General features: G+C 36.0%; 1 protein-coding gene across 2 annotated transcripts in view; it reads left to right on the top strand.

Moving 5' to 3' along the window:
* TENT5D (terminal nucleotidyltransferase 5D) overlaps positions 1-23,030 on the top strand; it is a 109,806-nt gene extending 86,776 nt beyond the window's left edge. For both annotated transcript variants that reach the window (NM_001170574.2, NM_152630.5), the window contains 2 exons: positions 16,331-16,453; positions 20,243-23,030. In NM_001170574.2, the coding sequence (NP_001164045.1) occupies positions 20,261-21,430 (1,170 nt within the window). In that variant the 5' untranslated portion in view covers positions 16,331-16,453; positions 20,243-20,260 and the 3' untranslated portion in view covers positions 21,431-23,030. The remainder of the gene's footprint in view (positions 1-16,330; positions 16,454-20,242) is intronic.

Consider the following 26,727-nt stretch of genomic DNA (forward strand, 5'->3'; position numbering starts at 1 on the left):
CTGACCAACATGGTGAAACCCCGTCTCTACTAAAAATACAAAAATTAGCTGGGCATGGCAGCGCATGCCTGTAATCCCAGCTACTCGGGAGGCTGAGGCAGGAGAATCGCTTGAACCTGGTAGGCAGACATTGCAGTGAGCTGAGATCGCGCCACTACACTCCAGCCTGGCAACAGAGCTAGACTATGTCTCAAAAAAAAAATTGCATTTCATTTTATCTTTCTTTAATGGCCCCTTCTCTTGCTTGCCTACTAGCAGGCTCCCTCCTGAGCCTCACGCTAACACCACACCCCTGTAGTTTTTCTCCTTGATGGGATGGGTTTGAGGAGAGCAGCAGTTGGTGAGGTAAGTTTTAATGTCTGAGAGGGTGCGGTGAGTAGACGGGGAGAGCTATGAACAGAAGTTTTTTGGGTTTTTTTTGTTAGTAAAAGGCTTTTTCTAGAAACATTGGGATGAGTTTCTACTTTTCTCCTTCCTCAGATAGTGTTTAAGAGGGATGTGAAAGATGTATATGGTGTTGGCTATAATTCTGGAGTCCCCTTCAGAGAATACTTAATTCCTTGAGTGTTGACAGGGTTATCCACAGAGGGGTTAGTGATTTGGAATGATGTGGATAAAGCTTATGAGGTTACTGGGTTTACTGTGAGGGTCATGGCGAGTTGTACAGCATCCAGTGCAGAGAGAATGGCATTTTGGTCTCACTAGGTGGCTTTACCTCCCAGCTTGCTTGAAAGCCTGTTGTACTTCAGAGTATTCTCAGCGATTCCCTTCAAAAGGGGCTGGAGATTTCTCTGGCCAGCTTGCTTCTCTGAAATTGGTGGCAGTTTGGAGAGGCAGCAACTCTGCATCATTTACATCAGAAGCAAGAGAAGCTCACTTGGTGACTGTTGAATTCACATAGCTATAAATCTTTACCAGCTACAGCCACTGGAAGGGGCAGAGGAAGAGTAGGAAGGGGAAGTAGTACTACTGTTGTAGTTTTCCCAATGAAGCAAAATATGTAGCAGTATTTTGTTGTTTGAGATAGTATCCAGAGTTTTTTTTTTATATTTAAGAGAATTAAGGAGCGTGGACACAAGGGTGAATTTCAAGTGAAAGTTTAATAAGCAAAAGAAGAACGCTTTCTGCAGCAGACAGTGGGGCCCAAAGGGGTTCCCCACCATGAGGCCGGGGTTCAGGGTTTTTATGGACCGGGATGGGAAGGAATGTGCATAGTTTGCAGGCTGTTTTGAGGAAAGTGTGATTTAGCTTGGTCTGGGACCAATCAGGAGCTGAAGTGATGATTTATTGGGGCTACCTAGCTTGGCCCAGGACCTAGTAGAAGCTGAAGTGAAAGCTTGGCCAAAGACCTTGGCCCTGGGACCAATTAGGAGCTGAAGCAATGATTTATTTAGGCCGAGCTTACGGTTTAAAGCATGTTTAGAAAAGAAAAAAAAAAAAGTGCCCACCAGAACCTACTGGAGCACCCCATGTACATGCCCACATAAGGAGAAGAGACTATTTCCTGGAAGCCTGCTGGTTATACAAAGGACAAAGACATTTCTATGCAGAGTCTTGTTCTCTTATTACCGTGGCTGCAGGCATGTCTTAGGCACAAAGAACAAAGGTTGGGCCTTGTTTCTTTATCTGAGTGGGCCAGAGGTTTGTGCAAGTTTTCTTATCTGTGCCTGCAGCCTGATTTTTCAGGCTGTTTCTCCAATTACAGGAGTTTTACCAAGGGCCCACCCTAACTGCCACCTTTTCTCTCTTATTCTCCCCCTCAGGAGTGGAGACCCTAACTGCTGTTAGGGAGATTAAGCGTTGATTTTTTTTTTTTAGCTACTTTTTGCTGGAGATGGGTGTTGTGTGGGGAACAGCAACTAGGGTTTCTTTTGGGGCTGGCTTAAGGGTCCTTGGAAGAAAGGCATGTTTATGCATGGTTCCTTTTGCATTACCATTTGTAGCTTGATAGCCGTTAGATGAGAAGAAACAATGTGGGTTATTAGAGTACATGTATTAAAATGAAACAAGGATGGAGGTAAAGAAGCTTAAAAATTCCAAGGCTAAGTGATGGCTAGTTATGCGTGTTAAGATTTGGGTTCATGGGGCTTGGCTTCGGTTAGCTTTCTTGGTTTTACTTTTTAAACAAAGAAACTTGTGGGTTATGCGAACTTTATTTACTTTTATTACCTGGCAGGACTTGTGGGATAATTGCCCAGAACTAGAGTATTGTTTTCGATTTCTACATTACCCATTCCCTTTTGTTTCCTTTGAGTGGTAGTTGGAGATTGCTGGTTGATTTACAGAAATAGGGTTAGTTTAAAATGTAGGTAGGCAAGAACTTGAAAACAACTACTGAGACTAGAAATTAATGACAGCTGTATGATAACTTTTGAAACATAATTTTTTCTCCAGTCCTCATTTTTGTTAAAAACAAATTATGATAAGATTGTGTTGTTTGCAAAATAGACTTTAGTCTCATACTTGGCCTGATTATTTACAGAAACTGCAGCAAGAATAATTACCTTTACATAGGCCTTTTAGATGGGCTTTGATGGAACTCTGTTTTACAAGGAATCTTAGATAGGACTTTTTAAAGCTGAGCCCAGCCATGGGTTTGCACCCTTAAATACCTGTGAGTTGGGTAAACTCCTTTTTTTCTGAGGTTTCAAGAGCATGGTGTTCTGGGCCTGTTAGAAAATGACTTTTTTACTCACCACAGATTAAGAACCCTGTACAGGGACTGTGTAGACAAAGTATAAGGCCAATTTTTCCAAGGGGCTTTTTTTGGCTTTTCAAGTTAAGCTTGACTTCTTAAAGGGAAACACATCCTTTTAGTTAAACCCTTGGCAAAACACCAGTTTTTAAATTGTCCTGTTGCAAAAGAAAATGCATTCTTATTGCACTGATGCAAACAATATATTGTTAGAAGTTAAGAATGCTTACATGTAGTGTCTGAATTTTAGAGGAACCAGGCAGAGAGAAACAAACATGTTTTACATTTTGCTTTCAGGAGTATACCTCACTTAATTGTTAAAGGCTGTATCTAGTTTAAAATAAGTTTTCTTGACTGAAAAACAAGGATTAGCAATATTTTAAGCAAAAGTTAAAAAGATTATATTAGCTTTTTATGAGTTCAGTCCATTCAGTTAACTCTTGTTTTGCTTGATATTTATAAACATTTCAGCTTTTTATGAATCCTGTATGCTTTTCCATTATTAGATACCTGCATTTGAAAGCACCTGTTAAAGTTTTACAGCTGAGTTTAAAACATTTTTTGAAGAGGATTAAAACAAGACAATTGTCTTAAATGACAAAATGATCAGGGTGTTTACAGTTAGAAACACAATTGTCAAAGAAATTTGGTTATTTTTGTGGTTTACAACAGTTTAAGATAATTTCAATTATAATTGATAGCATATATTTAAACATTAGAACTTTAGACATCCCATATGGTTTTAGAACATATGTTAATAATATTTACTGAAGGCTGGGCACAGTGGCTCATGCCTGTAATTCCAGCACTTTGGGAAGCTGAGGTAGGCGGATTACAAGGTCAGGAGTTTGAGACCAGCCTGGCCAATATGGTGAAACCCTGTCTCTACTAAAAATACAAAAATTAGCTGAGCATGGTGGTGGGCACCTGTAATTCCAGCTACTCGGGAGGCTGAGGCAGGAGAATCACTTGAATCCGGGAGGCAGAGGTTGCAGTGAGCCAAGATCACGCCACTGCACTCCAGCCTGTGCGACAGAGTGAGACTCCATCTCAAAAAATAATAATAATAATAATAATATTTACTGAAATATAACCTGAAGAAGATTAAACATTACTTTGGCAATTCCATGTATTTAAACATCTTTAATAATTCTGTTTACCTGTTTTCTGGATGCTCTAGGGGCCCGCTGTAGCATCCGAAAGCTAGGTGTTAGGAAAGTCTATTTATTTTGGGAAGCCCATTAAATATGTTATTGGTTTAAAACACTTGATATTATGAAATGGAATTTTAGATTACCATAAGTTATTTATTTTTCTAAAATGATGACTTAAAAATTTGAAAAATCAAAAGCCTTTTATTAGCCTTTAGTATTACACAAAAATCCTGTTCAAGAGAGAAAGCCAAATTTTACCCTTGCATTAGTTTACTATTAATGTTAACCCCAATTTTTAATGAAACCTTGTGGACAATTATATTTAATTTTCACTGGTTTGATCATGAAGTGAGATTTTTACAAACCTTTTATAACCCTTTACAAATTTTACTGAAAAGAAAACCTTGTTGTGCTTTTATTTTAATGCTTAACTTAAAGAAAAATCTATGTAATACTCCTTTGAATTTAGTTAACATGTATATACAGAGTTTTCATGGTAAGATTAATTCATACAGTTTTTCCACAGTTTGCTTAAATCTTCTGCTTTATTTTATTTAAGAAAATTCTTTATCCCTAGGCAAAATGTACATTTCCATGCCTTCTTACAATTTTTTAGTAAAAACACATTTTACTGTTTTCACACGCCTTGCACGTAAATCCATTTTCAGTAGTTGATATGGTTTGTCTGTGTCCCCACCCAAATTTCAACTTGACTTGTATCTCCCAGAATTTCCACATGTTGTGGAAGTGACCCAGGGAGAGGTAACTGAATCATGGGGGCTGGTCTTTCCTGTGCTATTCTCATGATAGTGAATGAGTCTCACGAGATCTGATGGGTTTATCAGGGGTTTCCACTTTTGCTTCTTTCTCATTTTCTCTTGCTGCCACCATGTAAGAAGTGCCTTTCGCCTCCCACCATGATCCTGAGGCCTTCCCAGACATGTGGCACTGTAAGTCCAATTAAACCTCTTTTTCTTCTCAATCTCAGGTATGCCTTTATCAGAAGCATGAAAACAGACTAATACAGTAGACTTAATTACATGTTATAATGGTAACTCTTAGCAATTTTTAACTTCAATGTAAAACTTGGTAAGTTGTTATAATTATATACTAGGTGCAGATAAAGTTTGATGTTTTTCAGCATAATTAGAGGCATATGGTTACTTTCATATGTCCCCAGACCTTACCCATTGTGAAGCAGGCAAGTTGAACAGTTTTTAAAGGCCAAAGAAGCAGTTTAAAACCTTAAAACATTTAGCAAACCTACTATGTGACTTGCATAATTTAGACTACCTATTTATATTTTTAAGACATTTGCATTTTACCAATAATCTTTAAGGCTGTTTTTATTTTTTAAAGATTAAAGTCACATGAACTGAAAGGTACCAGAGCTTTTATTTTTCCCTTTAAAAAATATTTGATCCAAGGGCTTATCCTTTTTCAAGTTAATTAATTAGAGCTCTTCTTAAATAGACATTACACACACAACACATGTATAACTACACAGACAGGCAGAAGAAAATCCAGCAGCTTAGGGTGGAACCATTTAAGAATAGGGCTCAGAAAGTATGTAGTTTCTGTGGCCTGACAAACAAGCATACCTGGAAGGCGAAAATAGATTTTGAGAGGTATTTATTTGCCTCTAATTTCAGGGGTTTAATGAGGAAAACAGATATTTTTCCCAAAATGGGATTTGTGGTGACTTTTCGGTTTTCTCAAGGAGTCCTGGGTTACCAGAAGTTATCCTAGGGCCTTTTATGCATGCACCAAGAGTGGCAAGACAGATTGGAGGAAAATAATTTAGTTGACTGAGAAAAAACGTTTTCCAGAAAAACAAATTTATGAAGAGAAAAACATAAAGGCTTTAAAAATATACCTATAACTTAAATATCCACTTTTAATTAAGCTGAGCACTTTTTAAGAAAATTATTTTTTATTAATTAAAACTACAGAGAGTATAAACAGTGATTCTTACTATTTCTTTTATCAGTTTATACCACTATCTGTTCACAATAATGTTCAGGTTTTCTAGTTTTCTCTGGAAGAAAGTGGCTGCATTCAGACGGGGAGTTTTTTAGGTGGACTGCAGATCACTCTAGCAGCAAAGCTTGATATTTGAGGAGGTGATTGTCTGTTAGCCAGAGACTTTCCCTAGAGGACAGCAGTCTTGCTATATTGTGTGGGGTGTAAACAGTTAAGTTATTCCCCATGGTTAACCTGTTGGCTTCTGGCACCTGCAAAGCCACCACTGCAACTTCTTAGAGGCAGGCTGGCCATCCTTTAGCCATTAAGTTAAATTCCTTGCTTAGGTAACCCACTGATTGTTGAGCTGCACCTTGAGCCTTAGTTAAAACTTCCAGGGTTATTCCCTTGCTTTCTGATACATAGAGATTAAATGCCTTCCTTATGGGAAGACTGAAGAAAGCTGCTGCTTTCAAGCAAGGCTTGCTTTAATTGTTTAAAGGCTTTTGAGTTTTACGTTCTTAAGTTAGGGAGTGAGTTTTATCTGCTCGAGTTTCTTTTATGAGGTGGTATAAAGGGTGAGCTATTCCACTGTACCCAGGTACCCACAGTCTGCAAAATTCATTAATGCCTAAGAATCCTCTTAACTGTTAAAGTAAATGGGCTTAATCCTTTTCTCACCTGGTGCTCTCATCACTTTTGATAAGGCTGACTTACATACTTTACTGAAGTCTGACAGAGCTGAGCTTTAGATTTTGAGACCCTATATTCCCTTTTAGCTAAGAAATTATGAAGAGCTTTTAGTGCCTTCTAGAGAAGCCCTTCACGATTGTGCAGTGGGAGGAAGGGAGGCCTGGACTGGGGAGGAGAACAGAAAGACCAGCTTCAGTGTTTAGAAGGAAGTTTACCTTCCTCCCTTTTACCTCCAGAATTACCCAGGGCCCCTGAGTCATAATGGCAGTCTGAGTTGATGGAGCCGGGGGGTTGAGCCTCAGGACCCATTAGTCCTGCTGGATCATTTGTGAGACAGGCCCTGGACCTGGTGACTTGCACCTCTGGAGACATTCTGCCTTTTAGTGGTCCCCACCACAAGCTGGACAGGGTTGAGGTGGCTTTTTTATTGCCTGGGCACTCCCTTTTGAAGTGTTCTGGCTTGCCATACTGATAGCAATTAGCAGGTGCACCAGGGGACTCTGGATTTTTGTTGTTGTTGTTGTTTGTTTATTTTTTGAGACAGAGTCTTGTTTTGTCGCCCAGGCTGAAATGCAGTGGCACAATCTCGGCTCATTGAAACCTCCACGTCCTGGGTTCAAGCAATTCTCCTGTCTCAGCCTCCCGAGTAGCTGGGATTACAGGTCCCTGCCACCACGCCCAGCTAATTTTTTTTTTTTTAGTAGAGACAGGGTTTCACCATGTTGGCCAGGCTGGTCTCAAACTCCTGACCTCAAGTGATCCTCCTGCCTCGGCCTCCCAAAGTGCTGGGATTACAGGCGTGAGCCACTGCACCCAGCCAGGACTCTGGATTTTATAGGCCTGTGAAGTGGCCACTACTGCTTCTGTTCTTTTCTTGTGCTTCCCCTCTTTTTCCTGGGCCTCCTCCTCCTGGTTTCTCTTGTAAAAGACCAAGGAGGCTGTCTTCAGGAGGTTTTTATAAGGTACCCTTTGGTCCCATAGCCTGCTTTTGTAGTTTCCTTTTGATACCAGGGGCTTCCTGAGTAATAAATACATCTTTTAAGATTATCTGTCCCTCAATTGAATTACGAGATAGGGAGGTGTGTTTCACTAAAGCTTCTCTCAGCCTTTTTAAAAAGGCCATCTGGTTTTTGATTTAACAAAGACAGTTTAGAGTAATTAAGATGTTTGGTTCTGGTTCTTTGCATTCTATTGGGAATGGGGATCCTGCTTTTTTTTTTTTCTTCACCGTCTTTCCCTTTTTGACTGGGTTTCTCTGTTGACTGGCTATAGGAGACATGGTGTTTGTCTCTGAATCTCTCTGCTGCCTGTAGGGCTGCCTGCTTTTTGGCAGCCATTAGGATTTGGCTAGGAGTAAAAAAACATTTCCCCATGCAAGATTAAACACTTGGGTTAGATTTTGGAAAGCCTTTATATATTTATTGGGGTCATTAGAAAACTTGCCTAGGACACCCTTTATTTGTTTAAGGTTCTGCAATGAGAAGGGAATTTGAACCCTAATAGTACCATGTCCATTGGTCATTTCCTACAGAAGCAACAGCGAAATTAGGGGTTTCTTGGGTGTTACAGCCAGAGGAGCCGATGATATGACTGCTGGGAGCCCTGGATAAGGGGGAAAGGTAGGGCATTTAGAAGTTGCATTTGAGAGTTCCCCAGGGGTTTGTTTTTCTGACTTTGGGGAGTTATTTTTTGTAGGCTTGGCTGATATGACTGCCAAGAAGGGCAGGATTAATTTTACAATGCTTATAAAGATCTGGGTTATCTTGCAAGGCAAAGAAAGCTTGTACATAGGGAACCTCAGACCATTTGCCCTCCAGTCTGCAGAAAAGATTTAGTTGTTGGATAGTATTGAAATTAACACTTTCCTGAGGAGGCCAGGCCTTCTGTCCCTCCTGAAGTTGGTAAGATGGCCATGCACTTGTACAACAGAATATATGCCATTTTTTTTCTTTTGAGTCCTAGGGTCAAAGGAGTTCCAGTGTTTTAGAATGCACTCAAGAGGAATACAGACTGCAGATGGTTTGTTACCCAACTAGAAAAGAGGCGGGGGAAAGATGTCTCCTTTCTCTTTTCTGAGTGACCCAGAGTGACCCTAGCCCTCCATCTTGCTGGTTTCCTAGACACACTTGGCCCATAGGGCTCCCAAGATACCCTAGGGGCCTGGGAGAGATTATGTAGTAGTTGGATTTGGGCAAGACTCTTTAACAGAGGGAGTGTTTTAATACTATCTCTGGCTTCCCTTCCTATGGCCCCAGTGAAACATTAGAATTCCAGAGAATGACACCAATTGACTTCCAAATATAAAATCCCATTGTTGTTTAAATGTCAATGTAGTTACATTCAGAGCATGTGCCTTAAAAGAATACAAAGATTGAATGGCTGTTTTTCCTTTGATGGGGACAGTACCAAGGCTGGAATCTGTCTTACCGGGATGGCTTCCTCCTGGCTATTGAAAGTGGAGTTTTTCTGACTACAAATAGGGTATGGGGCCTGATCACTGATAGAGGGATGTAAGAGAGAAAAAATTGGGGGAACTAGAAATTTGGGGCAAAGAGCTGACAAGGCTCCCCAAGGAGAAAAATTCCATCCCACTAGATGGCGCTGTAAGGTCTGAAATGTTAGGTAAAAACTGACTCCAAATTCTTTTTAGACAAAAGTTAGAAAGAGAGTTTTAGGGCTTGATAGGCTGTCTTAAAGTATGCCTCCCAGCAGAAGAAAATTGTGTATTAGTCTGTTTTCATGCTGCTGTTAAAGACATACCTGAGACTGGACAATTTACAAAAGGAAGAGGCTGGGACACCTGACAATCATGTTGGAAGGCAAGGAGGAGCAAGTCATGTCTTACATGGATGGCAAAAGGCAAACTTGTGCAGGGAAACACTCTTTTTAAAACCATCAGATCTCATGAGACTCATTATCATGAGGCCAGCACAGGAAAGACTTCCCCCATGAATCAGTTACCTCCCACCAGTTCCCTCCCACAACACATGGGAATTCAAGATGAGATTTGAGTAGGGACATAGCCACACCATATCAACTTTTTCATAGAAAAGTATTTTAGTTCTGCTGGGAAGTGCTGGCTTCTCACATGGGAAAAGGAACAGCTTAAATGAAGGAGGGGATAGTTGCTTGGGGAGAAATAACTCCCTGTTTAACTCCATTGAGTGCTATTGTTGGGAGATAAATAGGTTTTCAGATAAATAGGTTTTCTGAATAGATTCAGATCTTGGAATCCCCCATTTTAAGGAAACCACAGAGACAATAATTCGTTGAATTACATTCCTAAGGCTCCAGCTGACTTTGCCCAGTAAGACTATATCCCCAGGTTGCAAAAACACCCACAACATTGCATACAAAGCAGGGATAGGAAACATGATAGTTGCAAAAAACAAAAAAAGAAGGAAAATGTGATAGAAAAAGACTGGAAGTCCTTTTGCCAATTCTCTAATGGGCTGTTGGTGACTGGAGTTAGTCCAAGGGCCCCCAGGTAACACTGAAGTGTAGCCTCAGCCAGATACCTTCAGTTGCCCCAGGACCTCCTTCCGGCCTCACGTGACAGCTAGGTCCTTTGTGAAAGGAAACTGGATTGGAACAAAGTCAACATTTTCAACACGTGAGGGCAAAGGGGGATTGAAAAAGTTCTCTCCAGCAAGCCTTTCCCCTGAGTCTTTAAGTCTGGCAGTCACACTATTCGTTTTTAACTGGCCGAAAGGAACCCACTGTTTTTGTTTGCTCTTGAGAGAAGAAAACTTAAGACAAGAAGCCTTGGAAATGAAAGTAAAGAGTTAATGTTCTGCTCTTACTCATCCTTTAGATGAATTCCTTTCTTCCCAGCCAATGCAACAAAATATGTTGTATTTTTGCCAGTGCACCAAAATATGTAGCAGTATCTCATTGTCTGAGATAGAACATGGAGTTCTTTGTCTCATGTCCAGGAGAATTAAGGAGCGCAGAAACAAGGGTGAGATTGGAGCAAAAGTTTAATAAGTGAAAGAAGAAAGCTCTCTGCAGCAGAGAGGGGTGCCCAAATTGGTTGCCCACCATGAGGTTGGGGTCCGGGGTTTTTATGGACTGGGAAGGGAAGGACTATGCTTAGTCTGTAGGCTTTCTTACAGAAAGTGTGATTAAGTTTGGCCTGGGACCTTGGTCCAGGACCAATCAGGAGCTGAAGTGGTGATTCATAGGGGCTACTTAGCTTGGCCTGGACCTATCAGGAGCTGAAGTGAAAGCTTGGCCCTGGGACCATCAGGAGCTGAACTGATGATTCATAGAGACTGGGCTCACAGTCCAAAGCTTGTCCAGAAAAGGAAACGGAAGTGCCCACAAGAACCCACCATGTACATGCCCACAAAAGGGGAAGAGACTATTTCCTTGAAGCCTGCTGGTTATACAAAGGACAAAAGCATTTCTATGCTGAGCCTTGTTCCCTTATTAAAGTGGCTGTGGGCATATCTTAGGCACAAAGAACAAAGGCATTTCTATGGAGGGCCTTGTTCCTTCATCTGAGTGGGCCAGAGGTTTGTGCAAGTTTTCTTATCTGTGCCTGCAGCCTGATTTTTCACTGCCTAACTTTTCTCTCTTACTGCCACACTACAAGGGAATGGTGCTAAACCTGAAAGAAATCAGGCAATGATTTACTTAGAACAGTGTACACTTTTATCCTTAGAAGCAATAGACAACAGCCATAGCAACACAAACAAGTGAACACAGCAAGAATTGTATTTATCTGGTTTAGGGCCGAGTGAAAAGCATGTGGTAAGATTTCTCTGGGATTAGGGGCAGAAGTTTAGCCTGGGGAAAGCTTATGAGCACCAAGCTTTTAAATTGAGAACTTTTTGGGACTTGTATGCTATTTTCTCTTCGTGTTTATAGGTGCCTAGCATGTTTATCTTAATTGTTCCAATGAACCTTTCACCTAAGCCTCTTAAGTCAAGGATCTTTTAGTATGGTTCCACCTACATATAAGAATTTCAAGAAGTTATTTCCCTATACATCAAATGACAGGAAACTGGGAATTTGCATAAATCTCAGTCAGTAAGAACACTTTGACTCTTAAAATGGGAAATGGAGGCCAGGCATGGTGGCTCATGCCTCTAATCCCAGCACTTTTGGAGGCCGAGGCAGATGGATCACTTGAGGTCAGGAGTCTGAGATCAGCCTGGCCAACATGGTGAAACCCCATCTCTACTAAAAATAAAAAAAAATTAGCCAGGCGTGGTGGCAGGCGCCTGTAATCCCAGCTACCCAGGAGGCTGAGGCAGGAGAATCGCTTGAACCTGGGAGGTGGAGGTCACAGTGAGCCAAGATCGTACCACTGCACTCCAGCCTGGGTGACAGAGTGAGACTCTGTCTCAAAAAAAACAAAACAAAAAAAAAAGGGAAATGGAGCTAAGCATAGTATTTTAAAAGAGATGATCATAAAGTAAAAAAAAAAAAAAGACAGATCAGGATATAAATAGCACTAACATGGAAAGTATATGCCTGCCTCCTTGTAGGTCTGAATAGAAACTAAAACCTTTAACACTCCCATCATCTTTTGGTACAAGATAAATTGAAGCCCTCCTCCTCCCAGCATGGGTCAACCCTGAAACAGATTGCCTACATATATGTCCGAGCATTACCCAATATATAGTAGTTAAAAGTGTGTGAAATAACTTCATTTTAAATATAATTAAAGACATTTTTAATTAAGAAGAATTAAAAATAAACATCTCTTTTTCAAGCTTCACAATTATCTGAGGTACGTTTGTGAGTGGCTATAAATTTTGGAAATGACCACATTCATTAGTAGAATCCTGGACAAGTGAATTTTTGCAAATGTTGTTTTGGTATATGAACCTTATTGCAACTAAAATGAGTTTGTGAATTGACCCAAATTGGAGCTGTTTTAGCATTATCTATAGTAATGTGAGTCATTTTTTGGAAGGAAATTTGAAAATGACTAATACTATAAGTGAACAGTTATTGAGAACTCTCTTCTGAAACTTCGTTTTTTTCTTTGTTTTTTTTTTTTTTTTGAGACGGAGTCTCTCTTTGTCGCCTAGGCTGGAGTGCCATGACACGATCTCGGCTCACTGCAAGCTCCACCTCCCAGGTTCATACCATTCTCCTGCCTCAGCCTCCTGAGTAGCTGAGACTACAGGCATCCGCCACCATGCCCAGCTAATTTTTTTGTATTTTTAGTAGAGATGGGGTTTCACTGTGTTAGCCAGGATAGTCTCGATCTCCTGACCTCATGATCCGCCCGCCTCAGCCTCTCAAAGTGCTGGGATTACAGACTTGAGCCACCGCGCCCAGCCCCCTTCTGAAACTTTGAATGCTATAGACTCATAACATCAACAGTGTTAACATCCACAATGTATTACAGCATAAATGATACAGTATTTTGTGATGTAAGTATTGTTCTGCAATTCAAGCACTACAGTCAATTATATAAAAATCATAATTACACAATAATAAAAGTTTAATATATGCATGCAAACAGCTTAATCTTACTATGACTTCCTCATGCTTATTTAAATCTGTTGTGTTTGGCTGTTAAAATATCACACATCTAGATTACAATTCCAAATTCAACAATACAGAGATAAACTAAATATTATACTTTTTACCTAGATAAAAACACTGGAAACATGTAAAACCGTTTTCATTTAAATTGTTACACTTTTTGATTGAAAACTTTCATCCTTTGCCAGATTTTAACCTGAAATATGTTTCAAGATTGCTTTGTAATTATTTTTAATGTAATGTACTAATACAGAAGTCCTCAAAGAGGGACAGACTAACACATTATTGAAGTCAGTCAACAAATTTTACCCAAGGTATCTATTTTGAACAGATTATAAAATAGCTGCCCATTTAGAACAACTGATAAACACATTCTGATTATGGTATTTATAAAAGGACCTTCATAGGTTGTCTACAGAGCTTAATGTTAATACTACTTCTTATTGAGAACAAAGTTCCTTTAAATATTTTGCATCTACAGTTGGACTCTAAACACATATTTAGTTCTTTCTTTTGTAAGCAAAACTTATCTAGATGTTAGTGGAACAAAAAACTAGTGAATCTAATTGAAAGTAAAAACTGGCTCTTTACAATTTCTTAATTTCCATTTTATTTCAAACACATTTTAAAGCTTTAGCTATTACAGGAATAAATTAGTGTTACAACCATAGATAAAGTATCTGCCTTAAGGTGTTGCAACTAGGAATCTTCATTTAAAGATGGGGTGAACAACATGAGGTCAACTTTCAGTATATGTACCTCTATTTTTTTACACTCTACTACTAGTTTTCCATAGCCTATAATCTAAACTATTCTGTGGAATAATATCTCCCTTTAAATGGGCATATATTCTGATTTGGTGGCTATTCTAAGAATTACTTTAAGGTTATATGGGTATCTACTAAATAGAATATCTGAATATCTTATCTGAATGTCTACTAAATATAGTAGACATTCAGAAAAGAAAATATGTATAATTATTGTAGATTCAAGATATCTGGGAAAATTAGGGAACTCTTTGATGTATAGAGAAAACTGCAAAATATCAATGACTTTTTCAAGGCAAAGTATATTAAAAGTGCATTTGTTTTCAATCTCATTCTTTTTTATTATTATTATACTTTAAGTTCTGGGATACATGTGCAGGACGTGCAGGTTTGTTACATAGGTATACACGTGCCATGGTGGTTTGCTGCACCCATCAACCCGTCATCTACATTAGGTACTTCTCCTAATGCTATTCCTCCCCTAGCCCCCCAACCCCGATAGGTCCCGGTGTGTGATGTTCCCCTCCCTGTGTCCATGTGTTCTCACTGTTCAACTCCCACTTATGAGTGAGAACCTGCGGTGTTTGGCTTTCTGTTCCTGTGTTAGTTTGCTGAGAATGATGGTTTCCAGCTTCATCCATGTCCCTGCAAAGGACATGAACTCATCCTTTTTTATGGCTGCATAGTATTCCATGGTGTATATGTGCCACATTTTCTTTATCAGTCTCATTCTTATTGATACAATAAGGACTATTGGAAACACACTTCTACTTTTAATTAGCTTTCTCTATAATTAGGCAACTAAAGCACTAGGGCTCTCTATTGGTACAGAGATCACTTTTGTCCCATTAAAAACAACTCACTTGCTTTCCTTTTTACTGCTTTTACTATATTTGGTATCTTTTTGCTTTGGGTTAGCACAATAAACAAGCAAAAAAATTATCTGCAGTGTTGATAGTTGAAAAGAAAAGCAAATTTCACTGTCAAGATGATTTGATTAAAAGGATTTCTCTTATTGCTACATAGCTATTTTAATGCTTTATTCCTTTTACAGCTCCCTCTATATTTCCCAACAATTATTAAAAGAATATGATTTGAGCACCCAACTAGTTAACTGATATCACAACTTTATTTTTGAAGAGCAAAATGACAAAACAGTAGACATCTTACATTTTTCATCATGGAGCCAGACACAAAGTTAATGACTGGGTGAGGGATCTTTCTGACCTTGCCTGGCTTATTGGTCCACAAGTATCAAAATCAGTATTTTATTTACTGTTGTTCCTTTCAGTATTGAATGAGTAAAATACCAATGGTAGTTTTCTTTTGGGTTAAAGTAATACTACAGGTTTTACTTTTGACTGAGTGAAAACAATGCAAGACACTTCCGTGAGATGATTAACACTTTATTTTATAGTTTTTTTATTGAAGTATACTATTCAGGGTATTCTACGATCTTATTGAACACAGTATGGAAACACCAAATTGATATTATTTGATAAGCATAATCTTTTCTTCTTGATATAAGAAAATACTATTTTTTTCTGAAATAGGTATCTGTATTTTAAAGGGATAATGGTTGATTATGAGTAAATCATTGTTTAATTAAATACTGAACTGTTATTTCTCACAGACATTAATATTCTCTCTTGGAAACAAATGCAATGTGTCAAATAAAATATCTAATACCTCTTTCCAATAGTCAAATCATGTTTAATACTTCTTTAGACTGGTAAAATATAATACATTCAGACCAAAATCTTGTTGTTTGTTTGTCTATAGGTACGTATATATGGATATATAACTTGAAAGTTTCTAAAGTACAGGAATTCATTTTTATATACAATCATTTATTATAGGTAAGGGAACTAATTAGATTTAGGACCACAATACAAGCTTTAGAAAGACTTTCTACTGGCCTTAATGTCCAGCTCAGAAAACAATATTGCACTGCTGAAATGTTTTCAAAAGTTTATGGCTTAAAAGAGCATTCACTTTGATTAGAATTTTCTGTATTATTTAATGTAATGTTTTAAATTAAGTGGAAATAGCCAAAATATGAGGGACTAGGAACTGCTATTGAGACTACTTTTCCTTTACCGTTTCTTCTCAGTTTTCTTCAGTGTAGCAGTTCTTAAAGTGTCATTCCCTGACCAGCAGCATTAGCATCATCTTGGAAGTTATTAGAAATGAAGATATTCTGGCCCCACATCTGACCTGCTAAATTAGAAACTCTGGAGGTGGGACCCAGAAATCTGTGTGTTTACACACAGATAAAATGATTGCTCTAAAATAGTGGTTGTCAAATTTTAACATGCATTAGAGTTACTAACCATCTGTGTAATTCTAATGCATGTTAAACTTTGAGAACCACTATTTTAGAGCAATCATTTCATCATTTCTTCTGTGTGTATGTATGCGTCTGTGTGTGTATGTATGTATGTATGTATGTATGTATATAATTTTCAGGACTGTCGGCCATGGGGCATCATTATATTATTTGTATATAATATCTATTAAAGAACTTTATTTTTGCTTTTATTATCTTGCAGTTTTTCTGGTTGGTGTATTACTTTATTCAGTGATAATATGAAAATTACTATCTTCACTGAAGGATCTACTGAATAATCATTTTAACTCAACTATATTGCATTCTTGAAAGCAATCCTTTCAATGTAAGTATGATGTCTTTTCTCACTGTCTTTGAAAATATAGTTCTAATATTAATATAGACAGGTAAAGAGTGGCTAACTTCTTATGTTTCCCATCGTCAAAGGGAACATAGAGTTGTAATAGGGAGAACAATTACATTTTCTTTATTATACAAATATCCATTCATAGTCTTTTGTGATATCTTGACAAATTGCTTGCTTTGCTTTGCATTCCCAGATGAATTTAACCAGTTGAATAATGGAAACCACTTTGCATTGATTTTGGCATTTACTGTAGTCAGATACATTACAGGCATACTAATAGGTTAGGCTAGATGGGAAAAATGTTAGCTTAAAGGATAAGTATATTGGGAGAAGACAGGGAGCCAAACAAGATTTAAATATTCTGCAATGTGAACTACTGCTGATCTCCACATTTTGAAAACGATAATTAGAAATTTCATGTTTTGTGCTTCTATTGAGGTTTATGTGGAAAATTATTGAAGAGTTTCTGCCTTGAATTTGGAATTTTAACTTATGAAAATGTAGCTTTATAATTCATACTCAATAAACACACTTTCAGTAAATAAAAGTTGGATTGTACCCAAGACAGTATTATAAGCAATATGGGTGGCTTTGTTGCAGTTTTTCCACCTTTACCATGACATTCATCCAAAGTTTCTATTTAGCCATACTTTTTGCTTCAGAAAATTCAAATTAAGTTTCCCAACAAGTTTTCTGATGTGCTGTTTTTGATATATGGGTGATTAACTCTACTATATGCGGTTAAGTATGGAGCCATAATCTACACATTAAGATAAGTCCTATTACTTTAATGCCATATTTGAAATTTGTACTAATAACACTGCATTGATATTGTACATTATGTGAAAATGAACAGTAGCTGTGCCAAAAGGAGCATAACATTATTGTCAAATCTTGATTATTCATGTTAATAGAGGTCAGCATTTTTGGAGGCATGTATAGATTCCAGATCAGTACAAATCACTTATATTTACTCCATTGTGACATGTATTTTATTATATTTTGTGCTTATATATGTCTATATGTATACATATATATGTTTGAGTATATATGTATCACAAATTTTTATCATAATTAACGCTTTTTTCTAGGGCTAATTTTAAAAATTTGTAATTTTCATTTTCTTATGTAACAGTAGAGGTAGTTAGTGACATGGTAACTCAGAATTTGTCAGTTAGTAATGATATGGAATAAAATAGACTTGATTCCAAAAACAAGCTTTCATAGTTATGGCTAGAGAAAGGTTAAAAAAAACCTAACTGGTTATTAAAGCCTTGATTTAGACAATTGAATAATGTGTTGCTCACGCAAGGACACCGTTTCTCCACATCCTGGCAAGTTGTCATCACTGTTTCTGTAATTATTATGAAATACTAGGCCTAAACTATTTTATGTGTGTGTGTTTAAAGCTTGTAGGTAATTGAAAAGACTAGAATGTTTGGAAATCACTAGCATAGATAATTAAGTGGCAATTGGAAAGTTGCATACTGATGGACAGTTTTTCTACACCACTTTCCTGGTATAAAGTGAAGTTAAATTTTGGACCACTTTCTTATCTTTGCAAGATCTTACTGCCATTCTGTTTGGTAAACAAAATCCTATCTTCTCCCTTCTCTGATATCTAGGAGCAGATCCAAGATATTAAGTAGGGCTTCCAATTTCTTGGTTTGAAGGATATCTCTTGATCAAGGACTTCTGCATTTTGGCAATTTTTTTTTAGTTAAGTCTCTGGATGGTTTTATTTGTATATAAGTGTCCTGTCAACTTTTGTTTGGGAAAGAATTTCGTAATTTCAGTAATGTCAATATAGCAAGATAAATGTTTTCCTTTATTTTCAGATCATAGATGATTTACATGGAGACTGTAGGCCTAGGATTAGACCATTGAATTTTTTAAAATTTTTACTGATATTGACAATGGAAATTTGCCATTAAGGAAAGGAAAATATATATTTGCAAAACAAATTTGCACATGAAGAAGGAATTTTAGAACTTTTGCTGTATCATAAATTAAAATCTTAACAGTTTATATGTGATATTTAAAAAATATTTATTAGGTAAATTGTTTTTCTTCCTAAAACCTTTACATGAAGCCAGCCAGTGTTATGAACTATTCCTTTTCTAGATTGAGAATTTGAGCATAACAAACTGTTAGCTTCTAATAATTCAGTGATAATTTCAGAAGGAACTAGAAAATAAGATTACCAGTTCTCATTGCATGTTGTATCACTTCATGTAGCATCTTGCTCTTTCCAGTGTCCTAAAGATGCTATATAGATCATTTCATTCGATAGATAAATTACCAAATTCTGAAAGCCTGATATGTAATCAGTTTGGTCCATCCATCTTTAAGGATCGATTTGGATATTCACGTAGCTGATCAAACTGTATAAACATTAGTCATTAAAGTGGCTTAAAACAAGCATCCTATTTCATGGGTCATTTCATCATATAATAAAAATAAATATTCAGTCTGTAGTTCATATTTCTAGGGATTACATACAGAGAAACAGAATAGGTTTAATTTTTCCTTCTCACTAACACAGATATGCTGTTGCTTAATAGGCCTTTTGCAAAATGCATGGACTATCAAAGTAGTCCACGTAGATGTCAAATAAGATGATTATGTTTGCTCTAGTTCTACTAGGGAAATACATAATACTAAATTTCAAATATTTATATTCTGTTTTGATAGCTCCTTAGATAGGCAAAATATGAATACTGTCCACACAAATCTTAGGCTTCATATTGTTTTTTATTTCTGGAAGTCAGGAACAAATGCCTAACCCCAAAACTATGTCCATGTTGAATGTTATTTACTTTCCTAGATTTATTTGTTTAGACAACTTATTAGCGTACTTGAAGATCCATGTAATCACTGTGATTGTACATAACAACATAATTGTATCTACTTGCATTTATAGTGTTACAATATATTATAAAATGTTAACTTCCTAACATTCCCTAAACTATAAAATTATCTGAGCATATTATATTGCAAATCTGCAGTGAACATTTTTTAAAGCTTAGGAATCTTATGAGTTTATATATTCTTATTCTCATTTCAGGTACAAATTTAGTAGTCTCATCTGTTTTTCATTTTAAATTGACATTCCTTCAACTAACATTTTTTAAAGGGCTACTGGGCACATAGAAGAGGTGATAAATTAGGTACTTTCCTTATTAAGGAATTAAAGGAGCTCATACTCTAACAGAAGACTTCAGTAATATTCTTTTAAGTAAGAGCAGTTATATATGAGAAACTGAAAAGTATATGAGAGAGTGATCTGATGCTTTTGGGATTAAAGATTATATATATTGTTTGTAAACACTATGCCATTGAGTCCATTGGTTCTAACACAGAGACATGTTATCTGGTCTCACTTTACAATCATGATAATTAATCTCAATGATACATTATGGTTATCCCATGAACAAAATTTATATCACCAAAGAAATACCATCATTATAGTATTTACATGAAGCAAGATTAAAAAAGGCTACCATTTTATATCAACAGTCATTACAACTCCAGAAAATTCCTGAGAAATCTGTTTGCATTCATCAATGTATCTAACATCTTTGACATAATAATTGTGGCTTTTATTTCACTTTTATATTTAAACATGATTAAATATATTGGTAATTTCCTCCCTAGTATTATCATGGTTTATGTTGAGGGTAAGTCTATTTTTAACTTTTTCATATGCTTTAGCATTGGTTTTAAGGTGCTAACATATTTCTTCCCAATATTTTGTTTGCTGTCTAGTGATCTACTGACTTCACAATGTCTGAAATCAGATTCACCAATCTCACTTGGGATCAAGTTATAACACTGGATCAAGTGTTAGATGAAGTAATTCCAATTCATGGAAAGGGGAATTTCCCCACAATGGAGGTAAAACCAAAAGACATCATTCATGTTGTGAAAGATCAACTCATAGGGCAAGGAATTATTGTTAAAGATGCCAGATTGAATGGTTCCGTAGCAAGTTACATACTTGCAAGCCACAATGGAATCAGCTATAAGGATCTGGACGTTATTTTTGGTGTTGAGCTTCCAGGTAACGAAGAATTTCAGGTTGTTAAAGATGCAGTTCTAGACTGTCTACTTGACTTTTTACCAAAAGATGTAAAGAAGGAAAAGCTCTCCCCAGATATCATGAAAGACGCTTACGTACAGAAATTGGTCAAGGTTTGCAATGGGCATGATTGTTGGAGTCTTATCTCCCTTTCAAATAACACTGGGAAGAATTTAGAACTAAAATTTGTGAGTTCACTCAGACGGCAGTTTGAATTTAGTGTAGATTCCTTTCAAATTGTTTTGGATCCCATGTTAGACTTCTACAGTGACAAAAATGCCAAGCTAACCAAAGAATCCTATCCTGTTGTGGTAGCTGAAAGCATGTATGGAGACTTCCAGGAAGCAATGACACATTTGCAACACAAGCTCATATGTACCAGGAAACCTGAAGAGATTAGAGGTGGTGGCCTTCTGAAGTACTGCAGCTTGCTGGTTCATGGCTTCAAGCCAGCCTGTATGTCAGAAATCAAAAACCTAGAACGTTATATGTGCTCTAGATTCTTTATTGATTTTCCTCATATAGAAGAACAGCAAAAGAAAATTGAATCATACCTCCACAACCATTTCATAGGTGAAGGAATGACCAAGTATGACTACCTTATGACCTTGCATGGAGTTGTGAATGAAAGCACTGTTTGCCTCATGAGTTATGAAAGAAGACAGATTCTCCACCTGATCACCATGATGGCTTTGAAAGTACTTGGAGAACTAAATATTCTACCCAATACACAAAAGGTAACTTGCTTTTATCAGCCTGCTCCGTACTTTGCAGCTGAGGCAAGGTACCCTATTTATGTAATACCTGAGCCACCCCCCGTTAGCTTCCAGCCATACCACCCACTGCACTTTCGTGGATCAAATGGTATGAGTTAAAAAATACACATGCAACCATAGAAACTTTGATTTAATTAAACACCATTTAAAAGCAAGTTTCCAAATGTAAAATTCAAGATCTGTTTTTATTTTTGTACAGTTACCAATTATTTTCAATTACAGTTGATGGAATAGTAGTTACCAACTATTTTTGATCAATTAAGCCATCATAGTAAATACAATATCTATAAACCAACCACTTTAAATGTTTTTCAAACGTTATTGACTAGCTATAATAACTTTCAAATGTTGTGTTCCCCTTGAAGTGATTTTCAAATCTTTTGACTACTTGTGACTTTCAAATTTACTGTGACAAATATATTAGAGATGCCTGCATCTTTGACTATAACATAAAAGGACAGATTCATGTTTTAAAATTAAGATGTACAGTGAAGTATCAAATTTTTTATATTCAGTCAGTTCCTTTGTTACATTTAGTTCTTTTTTTCTATTGAACAATACCATCAATAAATGTTCAGTACTTAACAGAAATGCCTAATTTCAAAAGCAACAGATTCAGAAGACATTAAAACCCTGGACTTTTCAAGCATTTTTTTTTGACAATTAAATTGGGTTGGATACAAAAATCCTACTATAGTTTAAAGGAATACTGGAAAAAAATGGTTCTGGAAAGCCCTGGACATTAGTAATTTGTCATCTATATAATAAAACATTTAGTTAATTTGTGGATTTGAATAACAATACCATACAGCTGTGCAACTACTACTGAGATCAGATACAGGGTTTTTTGCCCCTCAAAATAAGTTAAAACGAATGAAAATGACCAGCTCTGAATGTGAAAGCTTTCTATCATCATCTACTACAAAGAGACTCTAAATGGCAAACAGGAAAAAAACAGGCAGAGGTTTATAGCCATAGCATTTACCATTTTATGGCTTATTTGAAAAACATCTTTATGTTGAGAAACATTCCATTTCAGTAAGTTAAAATATTTTCATTGTAACTAAATGAAGCAGGTTTTTCATTTTGCCTTTACCAAAGATCATTTTCTAACATGCCACTCAAGTGCCTCTTCGTGTGAATTTTTGCGTAACACTATAATTTATTCAACAACTGTATACCTTTACAGTATATCTAAATATATACTTACTACATCGAGTATACTGCTAGAAAAATCTACCAGTGGGATTAAAAATGTATTTTCTTCCCATAATGAAAATAATTCATGACCAATATTACCTGAAGTGTCAGAAGAGGAGCTGTCTTAAATTAATATGGATCAGGCCATTGGAAAACTTCAGTATTTCCACTTGGTTATGATTTTTTGTGAGTTTCCATTTCAGTTTTTATTGACCATCACGTTTTCTATCACAACATGACCTGACAGTTGTATCCCGATAATTTGCCAGTTATAGACTGTGCTTATCTTCACTGTATTACAATATTGGACAGAAGTACACCAAATACGGCATTTTCAAATAACCAATATTTCTGAGATGTTTTATACCACAGCACAAGTGGCCATCAGTATATTTTTAAAGAATTATATATCACAGAACCCTGAGGCTTTAAAACACTATGGACTTACCACTTTCTTGACAAAGAATTTGTAATTACAATAAAATATTTAGAAATGAAAGGACTATGATTGTGATGTCATGGGTATAGATTCAGTAGGTTCAATATTTTCCAGAGTGGTATTTGACACTGAATAGCAGAATTCTGAAGCTATTTGGAAATATCTCATACCCCATGTGCTCCCATAGCTTTCTTTGATCCCATTGAGAATTTAAACTCCTTCTTTCCTAAAAAGCAAATTATTTATGGTATTCTCCTAAAGCTTTAAGTCCTGATGGAAGAATGGCCTGAAAGCTAGGTATGTTCTCCTAACATTTTAAGCATGTATTTCCCTTGTAACAGCAAAGCTCTCAGAACTGCTATCTATGATTTTCTCAAGAGAAAGAATTTAAACCTCTTGAATGGGGATGGTATCACTGAAGAAAAAGCTGTAGCTTTATTTCTCATGGCTTGCTTTCTATAGATACCGTTACCAAGCTAGTACTTTGCTCCCAACCAACCAGAAAAATATCAGTCTTCAATAGTGTATGAATATCTCTCCAGGATTAGGCTAGTTCCCTTGAGAAGGAGTATTATTTCATTCTGCTGATTAGGGTAGTAAATGGAAAAGTTTTTCTGTAAATTAATGAATGCTAGCCTCTTTGCCAAAAGGAGTTAATAGAAGTTATTTTTTTAAAAACCCTACTCTAAAGCATATGACATCCCATTACCAAAGAGAAACAGTATTATCTTTGCCTGTTTAATATGTAGCCATTTTATTTTGTACAAACGCAATACTGAGTCTTGGTTTAGGAAGTTTTTTTTTTTCAGGAACCTAACCAAAACCAAAAAAGAAAGCAATTTTTAATATAATTCTAACATTCATATCTGTGAGACAAATTTTGTCAGCTACAGATACATATTTTTTAAACCAGAATATTCTTGTATTTCAAAAATATCCACACATTATTATCAAACTTCTACAAGTAGGGTATTTATAACTTTTAAAGTTTTATATATTCTTCTAATAGTGACTCATGCCCAATTTAGTTGAACAGAATTGAAAGAGAAGGATTAACTAGTTGATTTAATTTAGAGAAAAGCCATCTAAATTCAAGACAAAAATATCAGAGCTAGAAATGTCAACTTCCCCTCAAAACTCGGAAAGCCTTCTGTGCCCAAATTCCATCTTCTTACATCAGCAAAGATCTATTAAAATACATTCAAATTAGAGAGTTTAACATTTGTCTTTAAAGTCACAGTTTAGTTATGCATTGATAAAAATAAGATGAAAAATGCCTCAGATACAATTAAAAATCCTTTTTATTCAGTGCATCTATTACCTGGAAGTAGTCGTTCAACTTTAAAAATATGGGAAGTTAAAGCATATAATTGAGAACATTGTTGAAGTTTTAAAGTTTCCAATACTTTTCAAAATTACATTGATTTAAGAGCGCATATGTCTCACTCATTGAAGATTTTCAGAAATATAACTTACATTGTAAATTAACATTAAAACAGGATTGGGAGATATGTAGAACTATAATTTGGTAAATATTTTCATGAAGACCACTTTGATAAGGCATCAAACCCAACATTTTAACCTAATCTGGGATTTATTTCCTTTACCATTGTAAAATAAAATGCATTTAACATTTTGTTTTTAGTTGTGCTCTCTATTTGGTGGTTATATTCTGTAAGTTATAATGTTAAAATTTATGTAATAAGCATTTGGAAATTTTATTGCTGACCCACTGCTCCATTTAATGAATATTTCTTCAGCACATATTGAAAGTAGCAAATCTGTTGGGATTTCAGTGTTTTGCTCTTAAATCCTCCATTAAGGAAACAGTTTTTCTTGAATTTTACAAGTTTTAACAGAAAACATATTATTTAGCATATATGCTATTTGGAAGCCAATTCAGCATGTAACTCGTGATCTTTGAGCGTAACACATAATTTCTTTTGCTTTTTTATGGGGGAGTGTAAGGTGATTTTTTCACAATTTTCATGTTTAAGGCAGTGCTACATGGATGTATTTGTTTTAAACAACAACAAAAACACACTTTTTGTCTATATGTAACTCTTGAAAGAGCAAAAGATAGACAATAGATGAACAGCTGAATTTTATGTGCATGTGTTTTTTATGGCCCGTCAAATAAACCAAACCTCCCTGTCCTAGAAAAATAGTATCATATAGATATACATTTTAGTAGCTCAGAGCAAAATAATTAGCCCCTCTAAATGCATAAAATGACCTTTCTAAGAAAGAAATGTCTTCAGAGGGCCCTCTTTGAAAAAATTTTTCTTCTTAATTTCCAAATTAAAATTGATGAGTCGAATAACCCAACCCAAGTAATGTCATGGTAATTTTTTTGACAATTCACTTGTTATATATTTTAGATGGTAGAATTTGAACCATTCTCTAAAATGCTAATAAGTAGTCCACCTTATGTTATGAATAGACATGGTTCAGTCACACCTGGTCCTTTGGCTCAACTACAGAACCCAGAAACATGGGATTGAATTCTTGTTTTAGTATTTGTATAACTCCAATATCAGTGGGGGAGGTTGATCTTCATGAAAATGACAGTAGAAGTAGTATGAGTGTTCACACTAATATTCTATTCAGTAATTTCACTTTTATTATAGGAGGACAACATAAATAAAATTTGTCTATATAGCAGGTGGCTTTAATCCCAAAAGGAAAAATAATACAGGCATTGTCATATTTTTAACTTGTAAAATCAGAGTTAAAAAGCACATTCTTCTATTATGTGTAGTACTCACTTCCAATATTTTTAAAATAAAAATTGATATTAGATAGCCATTACATGTATGTGTTTTAAAAGTTATTATAAATGTTCACTTCTCCCGAGTAAAATTAAAGATTCAACACAAACATATGTTTGCAGATATTTGAACAAACAGAATTGTAAATAATTTTCTCTAAGCTTCACATGTAACCTTTTTGAACGCAAAAGATTTCTACATAAATTATTTTCTTTATGGTTTTGGGAGTTTTGTAAGGTAGTTTTGGACATTGAGAGTTAAATGCCTTAAAAAACCAATGGTTGTTAAGGCAGTGAACTTCAGATAACTATTGTCTTATCGAAAGATTTGCCGTCAGGTAAAATGCATTTAATAATGTCAGCAAGTAAAAAGTGTAAATTTTAGCAGTTTTAAGGTTAAAAATTGACTTCCTTTAAAAGCACCTAAATACATATTTCAACTGAAAGGCATTATATTCTTCTAGATAAATAATATGTGTACCAAAACAGAAACCATGCCAGGAAAGTTATCTGATTTCAAAATGTAGAGGACTATATTCAATATGCTGTGAATAGATTTCTATGAAATTCAGCAACTATTTACTAAGTTAGGGAAAGTACCTCTATAGAAGAGATATATAAATTCTGGTAATCCTGACAGTTTCCAAAAAGGGAGCATGTATTCCATTTTCCTGAGGACCAAGTTTTTAATTCCTCCCATTTTGCTTCCTCATTTTCTTCATTTATTGAAATGATACCTCTTTATGCTCACAATGATAAGATGCAAAAAATGACATCTGGGGGCAATTTGTTACTGTTTATATTACCAAAAGACAAAATGACACTATGCCAAGTTTAATTACTAGTGAGGGAGAGTCTAGAAATGTCATGATTATTAGTCAGGTAGAATTGTGTTTGTGGATGGTCCCGTTCTAGAAGAGAAAGCTTTCATGTGTGCATTATAGAGAGTCCAATTTTAGGAGTTCTAATATTTCAAGATTTCCCTTA

The sequence above is a fragment of the Homo sapiens genome, chromosome X (assembly GCF_000001405.40).
Source record: "Homo sapiens chromosome X, GRCh38.p14 Primary Assembly".
NCBI classification, from domain to species: domain Eukaryota; kingdom Metazoa; phylum Chordata; class Mammalia; order Primates; family Hominidae; genus Homo; species Homo sapiens.